We start from the raw sequence: 19,829 nt of genomic DNA, 5'->3' as shown, positions 1-19,829 counted from the left end.
GAGGGTTTTCCTTGTGGAAGATGTCTTCCTTAGGCCCCAAGTTGGAACAAAAGAGTTGAGTTACATTTGTTCAATTATCAGAGGTTTATTGAGAGCCTCCTATGTGCAAGCTAGCTTCTCCCTTCCAAATGTCCTTCTGAGAACTTAGCATGTTTCACTTTCTTCAAATAATTGGAAACATATTGTTTCCTAACATACACCTAACACACAGGGCCTTTGATGTTGGATTAGTTGAAAATGGATGATATTTCACTGCAATATAAATAAGAAATAAACAAGTAGAGGATTGTCAGGCTCCTGACATCTGACTGAAACGAAATTAAGTCTAAGTTCCTTGAGTTTATGAATCAGTTCTTATTTGTTTAATTATCTATTATTTGTATAGAGCAGGTAGTTAATATATCTCCATAAAACTAAACTGAAACTATACTAAGATCCACAACTGATACATTTCCACTCATTTGCAATATAGAAATTCAAACCCATGGTTTGAACAATTTGTGGGATTAATGAGAACACTGTAAAGAGTAATAGCATGCTATTATGTTGACAATAATATATATAGCATATTGCCATAACATGTTTTATAGTGTTAGGAATTTTTAATGATCAATAGTTTGGTTTTAGGTATAAGCAAAACACATATCTAAATTATTTTACGTTACTCCTGAAAATCAAATCAATTTCATGTACTATGTAAAATGATTTCTATATTGCTGGTTTCACAACTGACATTTACCTACCATATTTTAAGATATTACTTCATCAAAATGCTTTTCACTTAAAAATAAGATGAGCAAAGAAATCACCAATGAATGCCTTTGCAGTGGTAAATGGTATAATAAACATGCATAAGGCTAGGGATCACAATGGATTTATCAGTCCAGTGATTCTGCATAAATCCAGCAAGATGGCAGATGTTTAGGTTCTTTTTTCCCATAGTTGCCAACTGAAGAGATCCAGAAGAGAGTTTAGACTTTACTCTAATGAGTACTATTTCTTGGAAATCAACTTTCTGATCCAGTAGGCCCCACTAATGCCTTGTTAAAGCTGTTGTGAAGGTCCTACATTAATCCAGCCCTTCGTAATCACAAATTGGGACTCAGGGTGTTCGGCAGAGACAGGCACAGTCATGTTAATATGGAGAAAATTAGCTTTCCTGTTAGATTATGCTTTCACATTCCTATAGCTAAAACCCAAGGTGGGTGGCGGAGGGTGGTAGCGTGGGCCGCGGAGTGGGGTGGCGGGGGTTGGCGGCTACCCGAATGTTGAACTCCCCACAACATGGGAAATAGTAAGTCCCAATATAAGTTTTTGTTTTTTTTTTTTAAATTCACTAGTACAATGTGCTCTACACAATGTAAGAGTACTAGTCTACAAATTACAAACCTTGGCTTCCAGTTCCAGCATGGCCAATAAATGGCTCTTTGTCCTTGGAACCATTTAAACCCCGAGAGCTTTAGTTTCCTTACTAAGAGAGGGAACTGATGAAAATAATCTCTCAGGTCTTTTTAAAATTCTAACATAATTTCTATTTTTAAAAACACAAAGTAGACTTCTTTACTAATTTACACTAATTACAGACTCTTTTTTTAAAAAAGCAGGCAGAATATTCACTTATTCTATTATTTAAAAAATACTTGCAAAAGGGATATGGTTCTTTTTTACATAAACATGCCCTTGCTTATTATTCATTATTCTTGCTGTTAGAAGTAACCTAGGGATTTTTGGTGAGAGCGTTATCCATAAGTAGTTTTTCCAATAGACATTTTCCTCCAGAGTAGCAAAATTCTATTATTATTGTTTCAGTGATAAGAGAAGCATCAAGTTGTAATAGTGAAAGAAGAGTTTGAAAATTACTGATGTATTTTCCACTTGGTTTAAAAAACCAAGTGGAAAAAACACTGAGAGAATTAAGGAGAAAACGACTAGCAATTTTCTTTTATTTTCAGCTCAAGAAATCAAGAGTGTGCTAGAGGTAGAAACTCTTACCATTGTAAAGATGAGGCTTCCTTTAAGAGGGGGCCTGTGTCTGCTTGGAAAGCTCTTCCCCCAGATATCTGTATTGTTCATTCTGTCACTTTATTCAGGTGCTTGCTATGATATCGCCTCGTCAGAGAGAATGTTTCCTGATAACTTGTTGAAAATAGCATCCTCTGTCACACTCTATCTCCTTCCTCTACTTTATTTTTCCTTACATAATATTTATCACCACCTGAAATGTATTTATTTATTGTCAATTCACCCTCCCATCCCCAACGTGAATGGAAGCTGCATGAAGTTACTGTGTCACTAGTGCCCAGCATAGTATTTAGTGTATAGAAGCTGCTCAACAAACATTTAATAAATGAACTCCTGTAAATATTTAGTGCAAGCTGATGGAATTGACCCAGTATGAAATAAGGATTTTTTTTTTTTTTTTTTTTTTTTGCATCAGGGGAAGCCCAGAATCTAGGGTAGGGCATGCCAACTCTGATGCCTACAAAGATTAAAAAAGATAATTGTAAATATGTGGGTAAATACAATAGGAGGTGGTAAGAATCATTGTGAATGGAAGAATTTATCGATATCTAAAAAATTTCACATATTTCAAACAGTGTTGGAGTCAAACCAAACATAGCTATGTGCTATATTTGACTCACAGGGTCTACCTGCTTATAATGTGTGCAAGGTAACCTTTGTGGAACAGCGTAAGTAGGAATGACCTTGTGTTTTATTATGAATGAGGCAAAATACAAACCAAAATAAATAAAAACCTAAAACAGAAGCCACCTGAAAATCTGAATAGGTGTTGATATTGAAGGTCACCAAGAAACAGAAATTGAACCCCTAGATATTGAACCTGATCGTGACATCAGGGTGTTTATCAATAATTAACTTGATATTTCTAGGAGAACAATGTTTAACGTGATTCTAAGTATTCATTATAAATCCATATTTCTCAAGCTTTACATCCCTTGCTTCTAGAGAAAGCCTCCTTTGTCTGCAATTGGATTCCTTTCAGAAAATAAGATCACTACAGACACCATATTTCTGACATTTTTTAAAGGCAAAAATGACAAACTTGTAAACTCTAATTCATATCCAGTCTTTGATTACAGAGCATTATTTATGGCTTCTGATGCTTTCAAGAACTCTTTACCAAGAATACTGTGTTGAAAATAAAATGTGCAGGTACAGAGATTTTAGTTACGGGAAAGGTTTTGTTCAGAGTCCTGCTTCATTCTAGCTGCACCGACTTCAGGGTTCTAGGTATGTTGCTTCAAGCTGCACTTAAGGCACTTTAAAACTGAGTTTTCTTCTGCTTGTTTATAGTCACCCCAACTGCAGTTTAACAAGTAATAGCTGTTCAGTTATCTAGTTTCCCATTTTCCCATACCAAGCTTAGCTTCAGAGACAAATCCAGCATACAAATATCCAGAGAGAGAAGTCGCCTTAGGTATGAGGGATAACTCCGCTTAGCTCTCCAGATATTGTGTGCTTATTAGGTCATCTTATGGCCTGACATAGTAGTTAATATTAAAATGAACTTGCAGGTCAGCATGGAGGTAGCCTACTCCTATTTTTTGGCCTATTTCTAGGAACCAGTAGGAATGAAGTCAGTGGGTTGGAATTAGTTGCGGAATTCTCTTTCCTCCCTATTTATTTCTCTTCTAGTTCAAAAGAAGGAAAGGCACATCTATGTAGATATTCATAACTAGACACAATAAACATATTGAAAAAAGGTAGAGTCAGATCCAAATATGTTTAGAGGCCACTGACTTCTCAATGTAATTTGGTAGGCATTTATTAAAAGTCTCCCATGTTTTAGACTCTGCTTGGTTTCTACTGCCAAGAAGAGGGTGATGACATACCCTGTAAACATATTACATGCATAGTAATGCAAAGGACCACCAGGCTAGACATGCCAACAGGAACATCATATTTGGCTATACTGCAGGCTTTTTCTTTTAGATGTGCATAGTGGTACATAATTACACTTTATTTCTCAATTTGTACATTTATGATAAATTCCAGATCTTTTAACAGCATATGCATCCTAAATTCCAGTTTTAACACTGACAAGAAGAAATGGAGTGGCCAAAGATACAAGAGAATTTCTATCTGGACATGCTAATAAAAAATAGATTTCGTAGTATTCCTCAATCTTTATTTGTCTGTGAGAAAAAGTAAATTCCAAGGGTAGCTTAGTTGCTTAGAGTTCAAACCTGGAAACTATTAACAGAAGTGCTGATCTTAGCTATTCTGAGGGTAAAGAGAGAAGAGGGTGTTTCTCAGGCACTAAATATAGGTTTACAGAGCTTCCCATCAAATGGTGATGCACTTCAGGAGCAAAGACAGGCAGCAGATATCTGGGAAAGGAAAGTGAAGTTTGAGGGAAGCCATTGTGAACATTACATGTTTTCCATTATGCACAACTGCGCACGTGATGAGGATATCTGTAGTCAACATGAAAAAGCCTGATTACCTAACTGGGTACACACTTGGCCTCTGAACACAATTGAAGCAGAGCTTCTAATGCATCTGCAACTGTGGGCCACTTGATGTACCTGAAGCCCTGTCACTGGGCAACATGAATGTGCAGAAAGCTCTTAAATTCAGCATTTGAGGTGGGTGGAACAAGCTACTCAACTTTTCCCCCTCCTCTTTGCTTCTCCTTTTCTCCTTTCTTTTCCCTGTTCCCTTTGTGAATTTATGATTCAGAAATTATTCACACTGACTTCAAGCTCTGTCATTTCTTTATAGGTGTTTTATGCCTGCTCTTGGATTTTCATCTTGTCATTGGGTCTAGAAGTGGTGGTATATCATTACATTAAAATACTTTCCTGTGCTGAATCTGTCAGCCTGGTTAAATCCTGTGTGGGGAGAGCCAAACTAAATTCTGAAATGATCCACTGGATCTTTCTGCAAACATTAATAAGAGAAAAATTATTAGTTCTCTAAGTTGAACAAATACTACATTAAAAATAAAGAGCTGCATGATATGACATTGAAACTTTTAATTATGACTTTGTTTATGTTGCTGAAATATTAGCTTTTGGAATGTTTCTGCGGGCAGTTGATGTAAATGGCAGTTACATACTGCTTGATGAATGCTTCTTATCTTTCTCGTCTTTTTTTTATGTTTGGGTACTCTACTTGTTCTATTCTCCATAATGAATACAAGTTGCTGCATGTGATTATAGTATATAGGTTAGGATTATTTATTCTTTCTTTTCTGAGTAATCTTCAGAACCATGTAATAGAAGGGCAATTATCTCATCCTAGACATATAGCCTTACAAAGAACCTTGAATACATACTTTCTATATTATTTTTCTGTTTCTCTTTCCTCTCCATTGCCCCACCATTTCTCTTTCCCCCATTCCTTCAAATTTGCATGTGCTTGTCTTGAGATAACTGACTTTTCTCAGTGAGAGCAAGATAATTATTAACCAACTGGGCCACTATCTACATTTGCCAGTTTGTCTCTAGTACTGAATGAAAAGGGATTCCTGTAGTAGCTTAGTAAAGTTTGCATTGTACAGATAGCTATTAGAATTGCCATATTAATATATGTAACTAACACCTTGCTATTTGAATACATTTCAGGAAATATTTATAGAAGTACAAAATATAAATCTAAATTCTGGGCAAAATTATACAAACAGTTCATCTCTAAACTCTATTACTTATATAATTGAAACCTGGACGTTTAAAATGACAGGTTCATTATTAAGTGCAATGTACTTTTTGTTCTGAAGAGACAAAAACCTTTGTGTCTTCCTAATCTTCATGGAAGCTCTACTAGTGGTTTGTAGGTAGCACTATGCCTGGTGAGACTATTACTACCTTTAGGGTGTCTATCTGGATGGAATAAGAAAAGTTTGATGAAAGAAGTGGAATGGAAATTTGGTTTTGTCTGTTTATTTAAAGTCACAAGAGGCTTATCTCTCTCTCTCTCTCTCTCTCTCTCTCTCTCTCCCTGTGTGTGTGTGTTTGTGATTAATTTTTGCAGCTTCATCTTTGTTGATCTTTTGCAGTCATTCCTGGGAGTTTATATGCTTAAAAATAATTTCTAGAAACTAGAGAGAATGGTTTCCTGAGTAAATGACCACTTATGACAAGATTGAATTTACTCTCTGTGTTTGAAAAGATGCTCTTGCTCACCTGGGAGCTTTACTTTTGGCAGGTTACTAGTAATCCTTTCTATGGAATGCTGTCATTCCATGACAATTAAAAAAGAGAGGGCTGCATTTCCAAGATTTCCCTTCTAGGATTTCATGAGATTTTGAGCCTCCAAGAGTAAAGCAATAAAATATCGCCTGGAGGTGGGCGGCCTCAGAAAGAAAAATACACACCAATATTCTCAGTTACCCCTACCCAAAACAGAATCTCTGAATGTAAATTAAAATGAAATTATCTGTGTTAATGCAGGGGTGCATCTTTTGAAAGTCATTTATGTTAAACTTAGGTGGCATTCTGTCAATTGGCAAGGGTATGTATATCAGATTTATTGTTTAAATTATGTTGCATCTAAGCTAATAATAGAATCTCAGCAGTTTACATTTCTTGCAAAAGTGATAATGAGAGAGAAAAGGCTCAGAGGTGTATTAGATGGCAAATGGTAGCCACTCTGATAGCAATCATTTTTAACAGATAAGCCACAAAGTAGATAATTTACACCTGGGTGATCTGTAGACTACTAGAAATGACTATAAGTATATTTGCTTTTAGTATTCTTGCTTACACATACATTGCTATCGGATTGATTCCTGAAAAGGAATGTCAACAGAGATAGGATGTTGAGGTAAAAACATGTTACAGGGTGCCAATGGACTCAGATCTGAACTCCAACTCTGATGTTTCTAGTTTCAGATTTTGAATAAGCCTTCAAAGTCTATGAGTAGTTTCTCTATCCATAATATGGAATGATATACCTATTTTTCTTATCTAACATATTTTGGATCCTGAAGTTAGGAAATATGGTTACAAATTTGCTAAGACACAATTTTGGGCCACAAATAGATCAGGGGGTGGGCAGGAAACAGACAAGTAAAGTAGCAATTTCACTCTGGCAGGAAGAGTTAGAAGAGAAGTTGGATTGAGGCCCTCTATCATCCGCCTTGTAATAATTCATATCTCTCTCTCTTACTGAACAATGAAATCCTTGAAGTCAGGAATCATGTATCATTTACTTTAAAATCAACAGAAACGTAGAGTTAGGCCATAACAGGCACAGAAAGCATTTTTGTAGAGTGATTCTTAAACCACTCAGGTTAGATAAATGTTGTAACCCAGGATAATGAAAGATAAACATAGAAACAAGTACTGTGTGCATGTTGTTGGGCCAACACCAACCTTACAAGTAGGCAAAGGAGGTGGTTCTGTGCTTGATTAGATGAGATCATATTTTCAACATACTTAGGACACTATTTGGAGTGGAGCTCACTAAACAGAACTATTATATATACAATGATATAAGAAGTGGGAGCCATCAAAACATCCACTCAACCAAAATAAACTGCGGTAAAGCCCTAACACTTGAGTGTGAATTAATTTTTGATATTAGCAAGCTTAATATCAGAACCCAGATGGTATATGAGATTTAGGAGGAAAACTTGATAAGAAAGGAAGAAGGAAAATTCTATAGCCTGGAGCCCTTTGGTGAGAACCGGACCCATCAGGGTGGATCCCGGCATAGCCATAGGCTTCCCTCTTCAGCCAGGGGGAACATGATGCCATTAACTTTCTGAGCCTAAACTTTGGGAAAGTTTTGCTGAAAATGGTGAGATGAGCCTGACTGCAGTCTTCACCTAGCCGTGGGAGAGTCCTGGGTGACTCTGTAAGTCTGCCAACAAGGTAGAGAGAGGGGATGGAGAAGCTTCATGTATTCAACTCCCTCATGCCACGATAAGAAGTGAGAAATAAGCTTAAGAATGCATCAAAGTGGGAGTAATGATAGGGGTAAAAATGGCATCTATATATTTCCTTCCCTGCTCCCAAGATACTAGAAGACATCAGTTAGTGAAATGAAGAGTTCCTAGGGGGCAGAAAGCAAATAATAAGAGCTCTATAAACCACTTTGATTACTCACTTTCCTTCCAACTCGGGTGCCATTCATGTAAGCATTCTTGTGAAGGATGAGCTATCAGCTAAGTCATACCAGGGAACTGCCAATACAAAAACATCAGTATGCACCTTCAGTATTGAATGGAAGTCAAATATTGGGCATGAAGATTGCTAAGCCAGTCTAAGGAACAAAACTCCAAAGGCCACCAATAGAGGGAAGTCCTGTACTTTTCATTAAGATTTAGCAATTTGTGATTTGTTTTCAGTATTAGAGAATAATCCTCTTTATTAATGTTTGCAGCAGATACATGAATGGTGCAAATTGCATGTTATAATTTGCCATGGAAATCTTATTGTCTCAATTAAGTATCCATTTAGTTAGCACATTCTTCAGCGAACTATTCTTCAAAGGCCTGGTGGTATTTCATGGTACGTCAGTCCATAATTTGCTTCTCCAGCTTAATTGCCAAGGGCATATATCCTGACTCCTAGCCTGAGGTTGGCCTTGGAAAGTATAAAGTTATGTTTGTTAAATGCAAGCCTCATGATCTCTGGACAGCGTTAGCAATAATCTTCCTGCCCATTGCACAAATTCCTCCCTGTAAATGCCAGTGATCATGGTGTAGACAAGCATGGAGTCCAATCCTGTGATTTTCCTTGAAAACTAAACTTCTTGTCAGCTTCTGAAGCCCCCTTCTTTCAATGTTAGCATTTTGTTAAAGTAAATGGAATTAGAAGTAGAGATAAATCAGCTTAATCACACATGAAGCACGATTTTTCATGAGTTACCGCACTCATTTTTATATGAAACAATGAAAACATGAACTTGTTAATTTGCAGCAAGGTTGAAAACTTCTAAAAATATTGAATTTCTGTTTTAAACACTTGTCTATGTTATGTAGAAATAAAACATTTTTGGATCATTCAGCTCTGAGTCTAGATTTGAATAATGAATATTCTCTAACATTGTTTATTCTAAAGAGAGAAATGCCTATTGTATATGTGTGTATGCACACATAAATAGACTTTTTATAGTTTTGGAATTCAAGTGGAAGTGTATGTAATTAATCTTTCAATATGGTATGTCAGCGTAGAAAAGGTATGGATTTCATATGAGTAAATTTATTTTTATTATGAGGAAATAATAAAAAGGATAAATTTTCCAATATTTATACAGTTTACCTCATATCTGATTCTCAAAAAAATAAATAAATAAATAAAGCCTGAGTGAAGGTAAGCATTCCCCTAAGTGGCACAGGTGGCAAGGAATCTTCTAAATTTTGAAATATTTTGAAACTCTCATTGGATTTGCTATTATTCTGACAAATGAATTCAGAAGACAGCCATGCTCATTTTAATTAATTACAACATAAACCTTTAAAGAAAACCTTTGCCTTTAATTTGTTTGCTAAACCAACACAATGTTTCAGCGCTGCACAAGTTGTGGACTGCAGAGGTTGCATAAGTTGTGGACTGCACAAAGATGACTGGTTGAAGGGCTTAGGGGAAGTCTACGTCTAGCCTGTTCACAACTGATCGTGCCTTTGCCCTTGGGGTGGCATCATCCACCTTTAATAATTCCCACAAAAGTGTTATGTGGATACTGTGTAATTTTAGTGTACTTTCATTTCTAGTTTTAAATTTCCCTTCTAACACTGTCTCACTGTCTCTAGGGTCCAGTTAGAGCAATATTTGAAAGAATCAACCAATAGAAGGAATCTAACAAATCTGGCTGGTGTTTCCTCCATTGTGTTGACTGCATTGACTTAAATCATGTATTTATCATAAGAAAACAACTTAAGTCCAGAAAAATTTAGCCAAGAATAATAAGTTTCATTTTATATTTCACACACTACCCCCAATAAAAGCTGAATGATCTCATTTGGAGGAAACTCTTATGCATGTCAAAAATCAGGGTTCATAACAATAAATTATGTTTGTATTACTCATATAACTTTATACTTAAAAAAAGAGTAGCTGGCCGGGCACAGTGGCTCACACCTGTAATCCCAGCACTTTGGGAGTCTGAGGCAGGTGGATCACGAGGTCAGGAGTTCAAGACCAGTCTGGCCAAGACGGTGAAATCCCGTCTCTACTAAAAATACAAAAATTAGCTGGGCATGGTGGCGGGAACCTGTAATCCCAGCTACTCAGGAGGCTGAGGCTGGAGAATAGCTTGAACCTGGGAGGTGGAGGTTTCAGTGAACCAAGATTGTGTCACTACACTCCAGCCTGGGCAACAGAGCAAGACTCTGGTTCTAAATAAATAAACACATAAATAAATAAATGTAGCTATAGTTTTTTAACCAAAATATATGCTATAAAATAATCTATTCACAATTTTTTTACATCCTTACTCAATTGCCATAAAATGTGTTTTATAAATAATAATATGAATTATTGTGTCCAGAATTGTTTCCTTCTGGTGGGTTCTTGGTCTCACTGACTTCAAGAATGAAGCCATGGACCCTCGTGGTGAGTGTTACAGTTCTTAAAGATGGTGTGTCCGGAGTTTGTACCTTCAGATGTTCAGATGTGTCCGGAGTTGGTCTGGGTTCGTGGTCTCACTGACTTCAGGAGTGAAACCGTAGGCCTTCACAGTGAGTGTTACAGCTCTTAAAGGTGGCGCGTCTGGAGTTGTTCGTTCCACCTGGGGGGTTCGTGGTCTCGCTGACTTCAGGAGTGAAGCTGCAGACCCTCATGGTGTTACAGCTCATAAAGGTAGTGAGGACCCAAAGAGTGAGCAGCAGCAAGATTTACTGTGAAGAGCAAAAGAACACAGCTTCCACAACGTGGAAGGGGACCCAAGCAGGTTGCCTGCTGGCTTGGGTGTGGCCAGCTTTTATTCCCTCATTTGGCCCCACCCACATCCTGCTGATTGGTCCATTTTACAGAGTGCTGATTGGTCTGTTTTACAGAGTGCTGATTGGTGCATTTACAAACCTTTAGCTAGACACAGAGTATTGATTGGTGTGTTTTTACAGAGTGCTGATTGGTGTGTTTACAAATCTTTAGCTAGACACAGAGTGCTGATTGGTGTGTTTACAATCCTTTAGCTAGACAGAAAAGTTCTCCAAGTCCCCACCTGACCCAGAAGCCCAGCCAGCTTCACCTCTCATTATGACTGAGTTGAAGTGTGAGATTTGATTGTTTCATTTATATTTATCTTAAAAGAGGTACCCGTTTTAATTACAACGATGAATAAAATATAGTATTCGCCCTGAGATAAATTAAGGATATAAATATACACTCTATTGGTATAGAGAGATATTAGATGTTATGGTGTGGAGTAGTCACCTTTAGTGAAGGAAAAACTTTAGGAAGGGAAAAACTTTAGGGAAGAGAAAAACAACAAGAAGTGATTCAGAAAACCAAGTGATATATTCAAACTATTAGGCCTGCTTCATACAGGAATGCTTGACTCTTCTCATTTTGCCAAAAACATGGGATATTTCTATTCCATGTCTTTTACAACACACTATTCACAACCGAATTTGGTGCTGGAAAAGAATGTCTGATTCCTTCATCTATTAGTTTTGATTTTTGATTCAGTTAGAGAGACTATTATGATTCTCAGGTTTCACAGTCGGTTATCTAGAAGACAATGTTTTTTGCTTGGTGTTTTCTTTCTTTGGTGAGTTGGCTAGGAGATTTCTACACGTCCAAGAATCCTCAAATGCTAGCAAGGCCAGCCCTTAGTGTTGATGAGAAGCAGGTGTAGCCTGCGTTTAGAGGCCCCCATCTCTGTGTCAAAATAACTTCCCTGTGTTTTGCAAATCTGATCACCTTCCCTTTATGCAAGCCATATTGCTGTTCTTATACTCCTCTCTTCTAAAGCTCAAGAAAGAAAAGTACAAACTGAAAAGTTATGGATGTCTTGTTTGAGACATTTATATGTTGAGGATCTAAAAGCCCTGCCTTAGCTTGTTGTAAAAATAGATATTGTTACTGAATAATTGCAAAAGAACATCATTGAATGCAGAAAGAGCTTCTTATTTTATAGTTGTAGAAATTGAGTCCCAGAAACCTTAAATTACTTCTGCAAGTTCATGATGAAAGGGTGGCAGAGATGAGTGAGAAGACTTGTGATATCCCTCAAACCACACCCCATGGGTCTCTTCTTTCTTGTTTAGAAATGCATGTGTTGATCATTTAGCCCTAGGCTTCATATCCTTTTATTTGTAGAACAAAGTGTCTAGTCACTGATGTAATATGTGAAATTTGCCAAGTCTTCTGTCTTTCATCTCTGAGAGGCAGTGTTAATATAATTATTAATAACAGTAGTAATAATACTTGGCATGGTAGAGACTATTTATCAAGCATTTACTATAAGCTAGGCACTATTAAAAGTGCTTTATATTACGGACTTAACTGATCCTCAAAATAATTTCATGACCTTGGTAAAAGAAAAAAGATCCTTATTTATAGATGAGGAAATGGAGGTTCAGGGACTTTTCTGAAGTCTCACAGCTGGCTGTGGCAAAGCCAATATAACTCAAAATCAGGAATCTGGCTTTAGAATCTGTGCTACAAACCGATATACTGCCTCTCATAGAGGATTTCTTTCTTTCTTTTCTTTCTTTCTTTCTTTCTTTCTTTCTTTCTTTCTTTCTTTCTTTTTCTTTCTTTCTTTCCTTCTTTTCTTTCTTCCTCCCCCTCCCCTCCCCTCCCCTTGCCTCCCCTCGCCTCCCCTCCCCTCCCCTCCCCTTCCCTTCCCTTCTTTCTTGAGACAGAATCTCACTCTGTTGCCCAGGCTGGAGTGCAGTGGCGTGATGTCAGCTCATTGCAACCTCTGCCCCCCCGGGTTCAAGCGATTCTCCCACCTCAACCTCCTGAATAGCTAGTATTACAGGCACATGCCACTACACTGGGCTAATTTTTTTATTTTTAGTGGAGACAGGGTTTCTCCATGTTGGCCAGGTTGGTCTCGAACTCCTGACCTCAGGTGATATGCCCGCCTTGGCCTCCCAAAGTTCTGGTATTACAGGCGTGAGCCACCGCTCCTGGCCCTCTAATGTGTTTCAACAATGAGTCAAGTGGTGTCTGTGTGTATGTGTGTGTATATATGTGTGTACATATATGTTTGTGTTATTCATGATATATCCCATATTGTGTTAACATATGTGCAACGAATTCTTTCTTTATGTAAGCAACAAAAAAATTTTCAGAAAAAAATAATTGAGTTATGGGCACTTATATTTACTCCACTGGGATTAACTTTGCGGGCTCACGATTTGTGGAGATAACTGAAGAACACAGCAGAAAGATAATCAATGATTTAATGATTACAATTAAAGTACAGTTATTAGGTTTTCATAACATTTGTTTAGGAGCACTATCCTTCCTGCTTCACACAATATTTGTTTATCAAAACTGTCAATCCATAAACCACGCTTATAGCTGGCAAGAAAACCTAATACAGAAAGACAAAGGAGAAAATCAGCATATTTTTTAGATCTTTGATGTCCCTTCCTGCTCCCCCCTTCTCCCAACTATTCTGAATAGAGAGAAATGGTTTTAATGGTGCTTTTGGTCAAGAACATAAGGGAACATTTTTGTCACTTTCACTCATCCCCAGTGTTCTCTCTTAGGCCACCACCCTCCCATCTCGCATTTGAAACCCCAGGGTTCTTTTGAAAAGACACAGCCTATTCTTCCTTTTAAAATGAAATCCCAAATTATAGGAGGAAAAGGAATTTGTGCAGTGTTCCTTCTTGCCTCTCAGAACAAGTACAGCAAAACTAAGTCTGGATATTGTTTCCTTCAGTAGTTTTATTAGCCAAGAAGTTTATGTGCAGGAAATCTATTTTAAAATTTATAACTGGCTTAGACTGCAGACACATATGGTTTATTTGTTACTAATACTCTTTATGTTTTGTTTTCTAAGCATTTATGCTGTTAACTTTTTGACTTGATAACTTAGCTAACATTATTTAGAAAATAAATACCTAATATGAGTCATGGCATATTAAGGGTGTTACTAAGTATGCAGAAATTAGAAAGACTGCTCATATTTTTCTTTTCGAGACAGGGTTTTACTCTGTCATTCAGGCTGGAGTGCATGGCTTACTGTAGTCTCATACTCCTGGGCTCAAGCCATCCTCCTGCCTCAGCCTCCAGGGTAGCTGGGACTACAGGGTCACATTACTATGGTTGGTTAATTCTTTTTTCTTTTCTGTTTTTTTTTTTTTTAGAGACAATCTTACTATGTTGCCTAAGCTGATCTTGAAATCCGGAACTCAAGTAATTCTCCCCCTCCCAGAGTGCTAAGATTACAGGTGAGAGTGACCATGCCTAAAAGAGGCTGCTCTTTTAACAATATTGTGTAATTTAATTTAGCCAGCAAGCTTTTATGTGATTAATATTTATGTCCAAAGCTGGGTAGGTCTGTATATTCTCTATAAACATACAGAATAAATATCTTTTGTCAATAGTGAAAAGGGAGAGATGAGTTTCAGAAGAAAAAGTAGACACTATTTGTGAGTTACTTTTAGCCTAGCACTTTCATCTCTTATAAAAATATTCAAAATATAGCAATGCATTTAGAAATATCAAAGTTCAAACTGTTTAAACTTAATTTGCATCATATTACATCAGATCAAATTTCTAGTTATTTCTTCAATCAATATTTATGATATGCCTGTATTTTAATAAAAATCCAAGAAACGGAATGAAGCTTTGGTTTTACTGCAAATGCATCTACCTGTATTTATTATAAATATGAGCCTAGCAGGCATTTAGCAGAGAATCATGTCAGTCAAACCAGTGTCAACATATTAATACTCTTCTTCTAATTAGGAAATGGAACTGAGGTAGCATTTTTATCATGATGTCCTTTGTGATTGACACATGTCTGTGCTGAAATACATTTTTGCACAGATTCATAGTGTAAATGGATAATTTGCTTTCAGATAAAGTCCTCTTTTAAAAGACTTTAAAAATAAATCCAAGAAACACAAATAGAAATTTAACACTCTCTTTAAGAATGTAAAAGGCAATAAAATGCTAAATGGTTAGAAGTTACAATTTAGAAATATGTATTTGCTTTATTTGTTGTTATGATTAGAGAAGAATGGATTGAATTAATCTTTGAAACACAATTGTGGCAAAATATGTGTCAAACATAAATGGCATTAAAAGAACTCATTATTTGTCTTTTATTCTTTCCTTTCAAAAAAGATGAATGCAGGCAGATGCTGTGGCTCATGCCTGTAGTCCCAGCAATTTGGGAGACCGAGGCGGGCAGATCAGGAGGTCAGGAGATCGAGACTAGCCTGATCAACATGGAGAAACCCCATCTCTATTAAAAATACAAAATTAGCCGAGCATGTTGGCACATGCCTGTAATCCCAGCTACTCAGTCGGCTGAGGCAAGAGAATCACTTGAACCTGGGAGACAGAGGTTGCAGTGAGCCAAGATCGTGCCATTGCACTCCAGCCTGGGCAACAAAAAAGACGAATGCATCTCCATTGAATTTCATTATCAAAGTTCTGTTTAAAGTCCAATATTTGCAAATTTTAACAGGTTAAGAAAATAGACTAGTCTACAAGTGACATATTTGAGAACTTATAAACTTAGCTGTCTGCTGTCTAGATTTCTATGCCATTCTCTAGATGATTTGTTTTTTTTTTTAAAAAAGATTCTTTCAACTGCAAACACCTATAAAATTATAAAATTAAAGTTCGGTTTTAGCTTTCCTATTATTTTGTTATTCCTATTATTTGTATTTTTATTCTCTATCTGTAGTTAAAAGAAAAAAAAAAAGAAAGAGAAAGGAAACAACAGCAATGACCTGAATCTCCAAGGTAAATGAGTGCTGTAGATTTTGCAAATAATATTGTCGAATCTTCAACTTCTAAACTAACTTTAGGAAATACAGTCTGAGAACGGGAACACCTCCCACATTTCTCGAGATTAATAAGAATAGCTACATTGTTACTCATTTCAAATTAGTGTTCGTTGCAAAGCAGCATCTTCTAATGTGAATTTTAAAAGTGGAAATGAAAAACATCAAAATGGTCTGATTTTTGGAGCCAAATAGTTGTAAAAATGATTAAGGAACTGCTTTCTTTCTCTTTACTGGTTTGCATTTGAGCGCTGGTTTCCTAAAGTTCATCAAGCCAAAGGGAGAAAAGAAGAAAAAAGAGAGAGGGAGAGAAAGAGAGAAAAACAGATACACAGAAAGAAATATTCTGAAAAAGTAGTAAGAAAATGAAAGAGAACACGAGTCATATAAAGATGGAGAGACTGAGCTGTAGAAACTGGTCACATAAATAGTCATGAAATAAAAAGTTTCAGATTTGTATTGAAGTAAAAAAAAAAAAAAAACTACTTAGAGAAAGGCCAACAGGCCAGACTAAATAATCCTCGACTTACCGTCCAATTCTGAATCCCATATTAGCTGCAGAGATTTTAATGTAAATATGCCATTACACTGTCATTACAGTGATCAGGCTTCATGGCTCACAGGTCACATCTCAGCCACTGTTAATTTTGCAGCCAAAAGCTTTTTTTCTCTTGAAATGTTAATAACTTTCTATTAGTTAATGTAGCGTGACTAAAATTCAGATTAGATATAATTCATTTTAATATCTGTGACTGGCTATCCTGATCATTTAGCAATGGTTTCCAGCTGAATACAAGATGCTAAATTGGACTCATTTGCATAGCCCTGTTAAAGCAATGCCATTCTAGAAATGTAGGCATCTTCAAATTAATTTAAAAGATTTTTTTTCCTCCTGGTTTTGCTACTAGGATAAAATCTTTGGTGGGCAACTAATTGAAGTTACCATGGGCCGAATGCACATCCTTTTCTCTGCCTACCCTCCCATCCCCTAAGGAAAAAAGCAGCCAAAACACTAGTAAGGAGTATTAATTGGTGAATGCAGATGATACTCAGTGCCTCAGAACCTAGAAAGGGTTCCATTTAGTACCTATAATGTTGTGACAGAAGCCTAAACTGTTGACAAGGTCTGTGACAACTGGATCTTGAAGAACATTTAGCTCCACTTTGCAAGCCTGTTTTTAACTCTCTGTATTATTTAGATTGATTGAATCCTTACCTTTTTGGTGTGTGGAGTCTAGTTTGTTAAACTAAATGGATAATATAGGTTGCTTTCCAAGGAAGACATCACCAGATTGAACAGCACCGTTGTTATTAATCCTGGACAGATTCTGGAGTCTGTTCTTTTCTTCCTTTGCCTATGTAACCCCCATTAATGCTAATGGAAAACACAGATGATACATTCATGCAACAAGGTACCACCAGAGCCCTGAATTATCAAAACATGTGGGTAGATGCTCACACAGACAATTCAATAAGTGCACCTGTGGAAGGGATTAGGACATCTTTCGTTGCACCCTGATCCTTTTTTTCCCCTTTACTTTGTCATACTTGATGATTTGTTTTCCCTTCAATTAAAGGCAAACAATGTAAAATATTAAACACTTCCCATTTGTTCACAGGTATCTGGTATCACAAACATTGTGTAAAGAATATGTAAATACTCTCATACAGCTAGATCAAAGCTTTGTTTCAGAAATCCTAACAGGATTCCTAGAAAGTGAAAACTGAAACCAATTTTTAATATATTTTTCTTGATTTCACCAACTTTAAAATCAGCTTTAAAATTTGAAATGTCCATATTCTTTTATAAATTTATTTAACAATTATTTACTTATGTAAAGATATTTGGCTTTAGGAACTTATTCTTTGGAACTTTGGAATGTAATTTTCAGAAATTAGGGTCTTTCCTTTTCCAAAGCAAAAAATAGGTCTCAGATGTGAACAACTAATGTTTTAGGGGTTTCTTTTTATTGAATTTGTTTATTTCTAGACATTAGAAAAACTATACGGCTTGGGAAAAAAGTCTCTTTATGTCTCTACTCTCCTGCTTCTTTCCTTCTTTCTCTTCTTCTTCCTTCTCTCGTCCCTGGGGCAAAATAACAGATTCTTTTGTTGCTGTTTGCAATCTGAGAATAAATTATTTTGCCATCTTTTCACCACCTCCCTACCTCCAACAATTTAATGAGGAGTATATGGTTGGACCACTAGCTGTTTGAGAGAGATGAACATCTAGTAAAAATTAATTAAATTATAGTGAATATTTTGAATAAACACAGAATTGGTAAAATCCTTCCCTTCCAAAATGTATGTGAAAATTTCCAGTTGTACAGTTCATCTTGAAAGTAAATCAACAGGCAATATTCAAAGGATGCCAACCAAATAATAAACTTGGGTAGTGATTGGCCATTGGGCAATTGAGTAGCTACACTGACAATTCCTGAAAACGACTCTTTTCTCTATTTGGTTGATTACTTCAACAGTCAATAATTAATGTAGGTTAAAAACTTTGTTAGCAGTTTCCATTTCTCAGCCTATAAACATTTTCAAATATATGTTCTTCTCAGTACCCTGTCTACCAACTTATTTCTCTCCTTCCCTCCACAACTAAACTTCTTGAAATAGTGATGATTTCCACCTCCTCCTTTCTCCTCACTCTCAATGCACTCCCTACATTCACCTTGCTCCTAATGCACTACAGACTTTCTTCCCTTCTTCCTATCCCTCCACTGAAACTTGTCATGATCTATTATTGACCAAATTCTATCTTTATCAGTGCCCCCATCTCCAGCCCAGTCAGCTCAGTCATTTGGTCAAATGATCAATTCCATCTCAAGTATCATTTCTGTCTGAAGGCTCTATGATAGTTCCTGGAGGATATATGAAAGTGCCTAGCATAGAGACCTGGATATGTAGAGTTTGAAAAATTATCCCTGTTGATTTAAAAATGTCAACTATGTTATAGTAAGTGTCCTTTGGACATCTTATCTAACTATTAGCTATGTTGGTGTCACTCAAACCTATAGCTTGAACTGAGGCCTCTTTCTTGCCAGTCTGAGCTAAATATCTGATTGTCTACTGGCTATTTTCACCAAATTGTACCATAATCAGATCGAAATAACAGTGCGCTGCTGGCTCCTTGTCTCTGTCAACCATGATCTGGTTCAGAATAGTAACATTTACCTGGGAACCCAATTCAGAAATGTGGGAGTTATCCTAGAATTACTAAGTCTATATATCTAATTTGTCACAAGTGCCACTACACCTCCTTAAAAAGTTTCTAATTCAAATCTGTCCCTTTCACCATTCTACTGCATCAGGTCAGGACTTTGTAATTTCTTACTAGGATTATATTTACTTCTCTAATCTGTTTTCATAGGCCACCCCCACTCCAATTTATCTTCGCAGCTAGAGTTGCATTTTCACAGTGCAAACCCCATTGCTCCCCCTGTTAAAATTCTTTAGAGGCTCTCCATCACTCTTAGGTTTAGAAGTCTCAATAGGGGAAATGCTTCCCTTGATGATTAGCCCCTGGGCTGTCCCTCCAGCCCTATCCCTTGCATTATCCACATTGGCATTCTGTGCCCTAGTCTAGAATAATTACTTTCATTCCCTGGGAGGAACCATGCTATTGCTTGCTTCAGTGCATTCCTTGCCTCTTGCCTACCTGGGAAATTCTTACTCATTCCTCATTACTCAGCTCAATTTTTTTTTTATTTTCTTAATCAGGCTTCCATTCTTCTTCCTTCCATGTCTTCAGATTGGGTTAAATACTAGGCCCTCTGTGCACCTGTGGTACCTTACTCATACCTTGAGTGTACTACTGTGAGATTTTACATATGTATTAGGTTGGTACAAAGGTAACTATGGTTTTTGCCATTTAAAAAAATATATTTTTTCTCTCTCTCTTGCTCTCTCTCTCTCTGTGTGTGTG

General features: G+C 36.7%; 2 long non-coding RNA genes across 2 annotated transcripts, besides 1 other annotated feature; one reads left to right on the top strand and one right to left on the bottom strand.

The window, feature by feature from the left end:
- The first annotated feature begins 4,480 nt into the window (after positions 1-4,480).
- On the top strand, positions 4,481-14,336 carry LOC107985829 (uncharacterized). Its single transcript, XR_001739222.2, has 2 exons — positions 4,481-4,610; positions 14,246-14,336. It is a non-coding gene; the product is annotated as an uncharacterized LOC107985829 (long non-coding RNA).
- On the bottom strand, positions 4,659-10,612 carry LOC105373728 (uncharacterized). Its single transcript, XR_923548.3, has 3 exons — positions 10,571-10,612; positions 8,077-8,152; positions 4,659-4,905 (listed from the first exon to the last, which is right to left on the bottom strand). It is a non-coding gene; the product is annotated as an uncharacterized LOC105373728 (long non-coding RNA).
- Positions 12,943-13,119: a silencer, noted in NCBI's record as "fragment chr2:164304809-164304985 (GRCh37/hg19 assembly coordinates)". NCBI's record gives its function as "represses an EF-1alpha promoter that drives an FKBP-Casp9 reporter gene in an ReSE screen in HepG2 liver carcinoma cells {active_cell/tissue: HepG2}" and the evidence as "EXISTENCE:reporter gene assay evidence [ECO:0000049][PMID:32094911]".
- Positions 14,337-19,829: the final 5,493 nt, after the last annotated feature.

The sequence above is a fragment of the Homo sapiens genome, chromosome 2 (assembly GCF_000001405.40).
Source record: "Homo sapiens chromosome 2, GRCh38.p14 Primary Assembly".
In the NCBI taxonomy this organism is placed as follows: domain Eukaryota; kingdom Metazoa; phylum Chordata; class Mammalia; order Primates; family Hominidae; genus Homo; species Homo sapiens.
The sequence above is the reverse complement of the archived record's forward strand: the minus strand, read 5'-3'. Positions and strand labels throughout refer to the sequence as shown.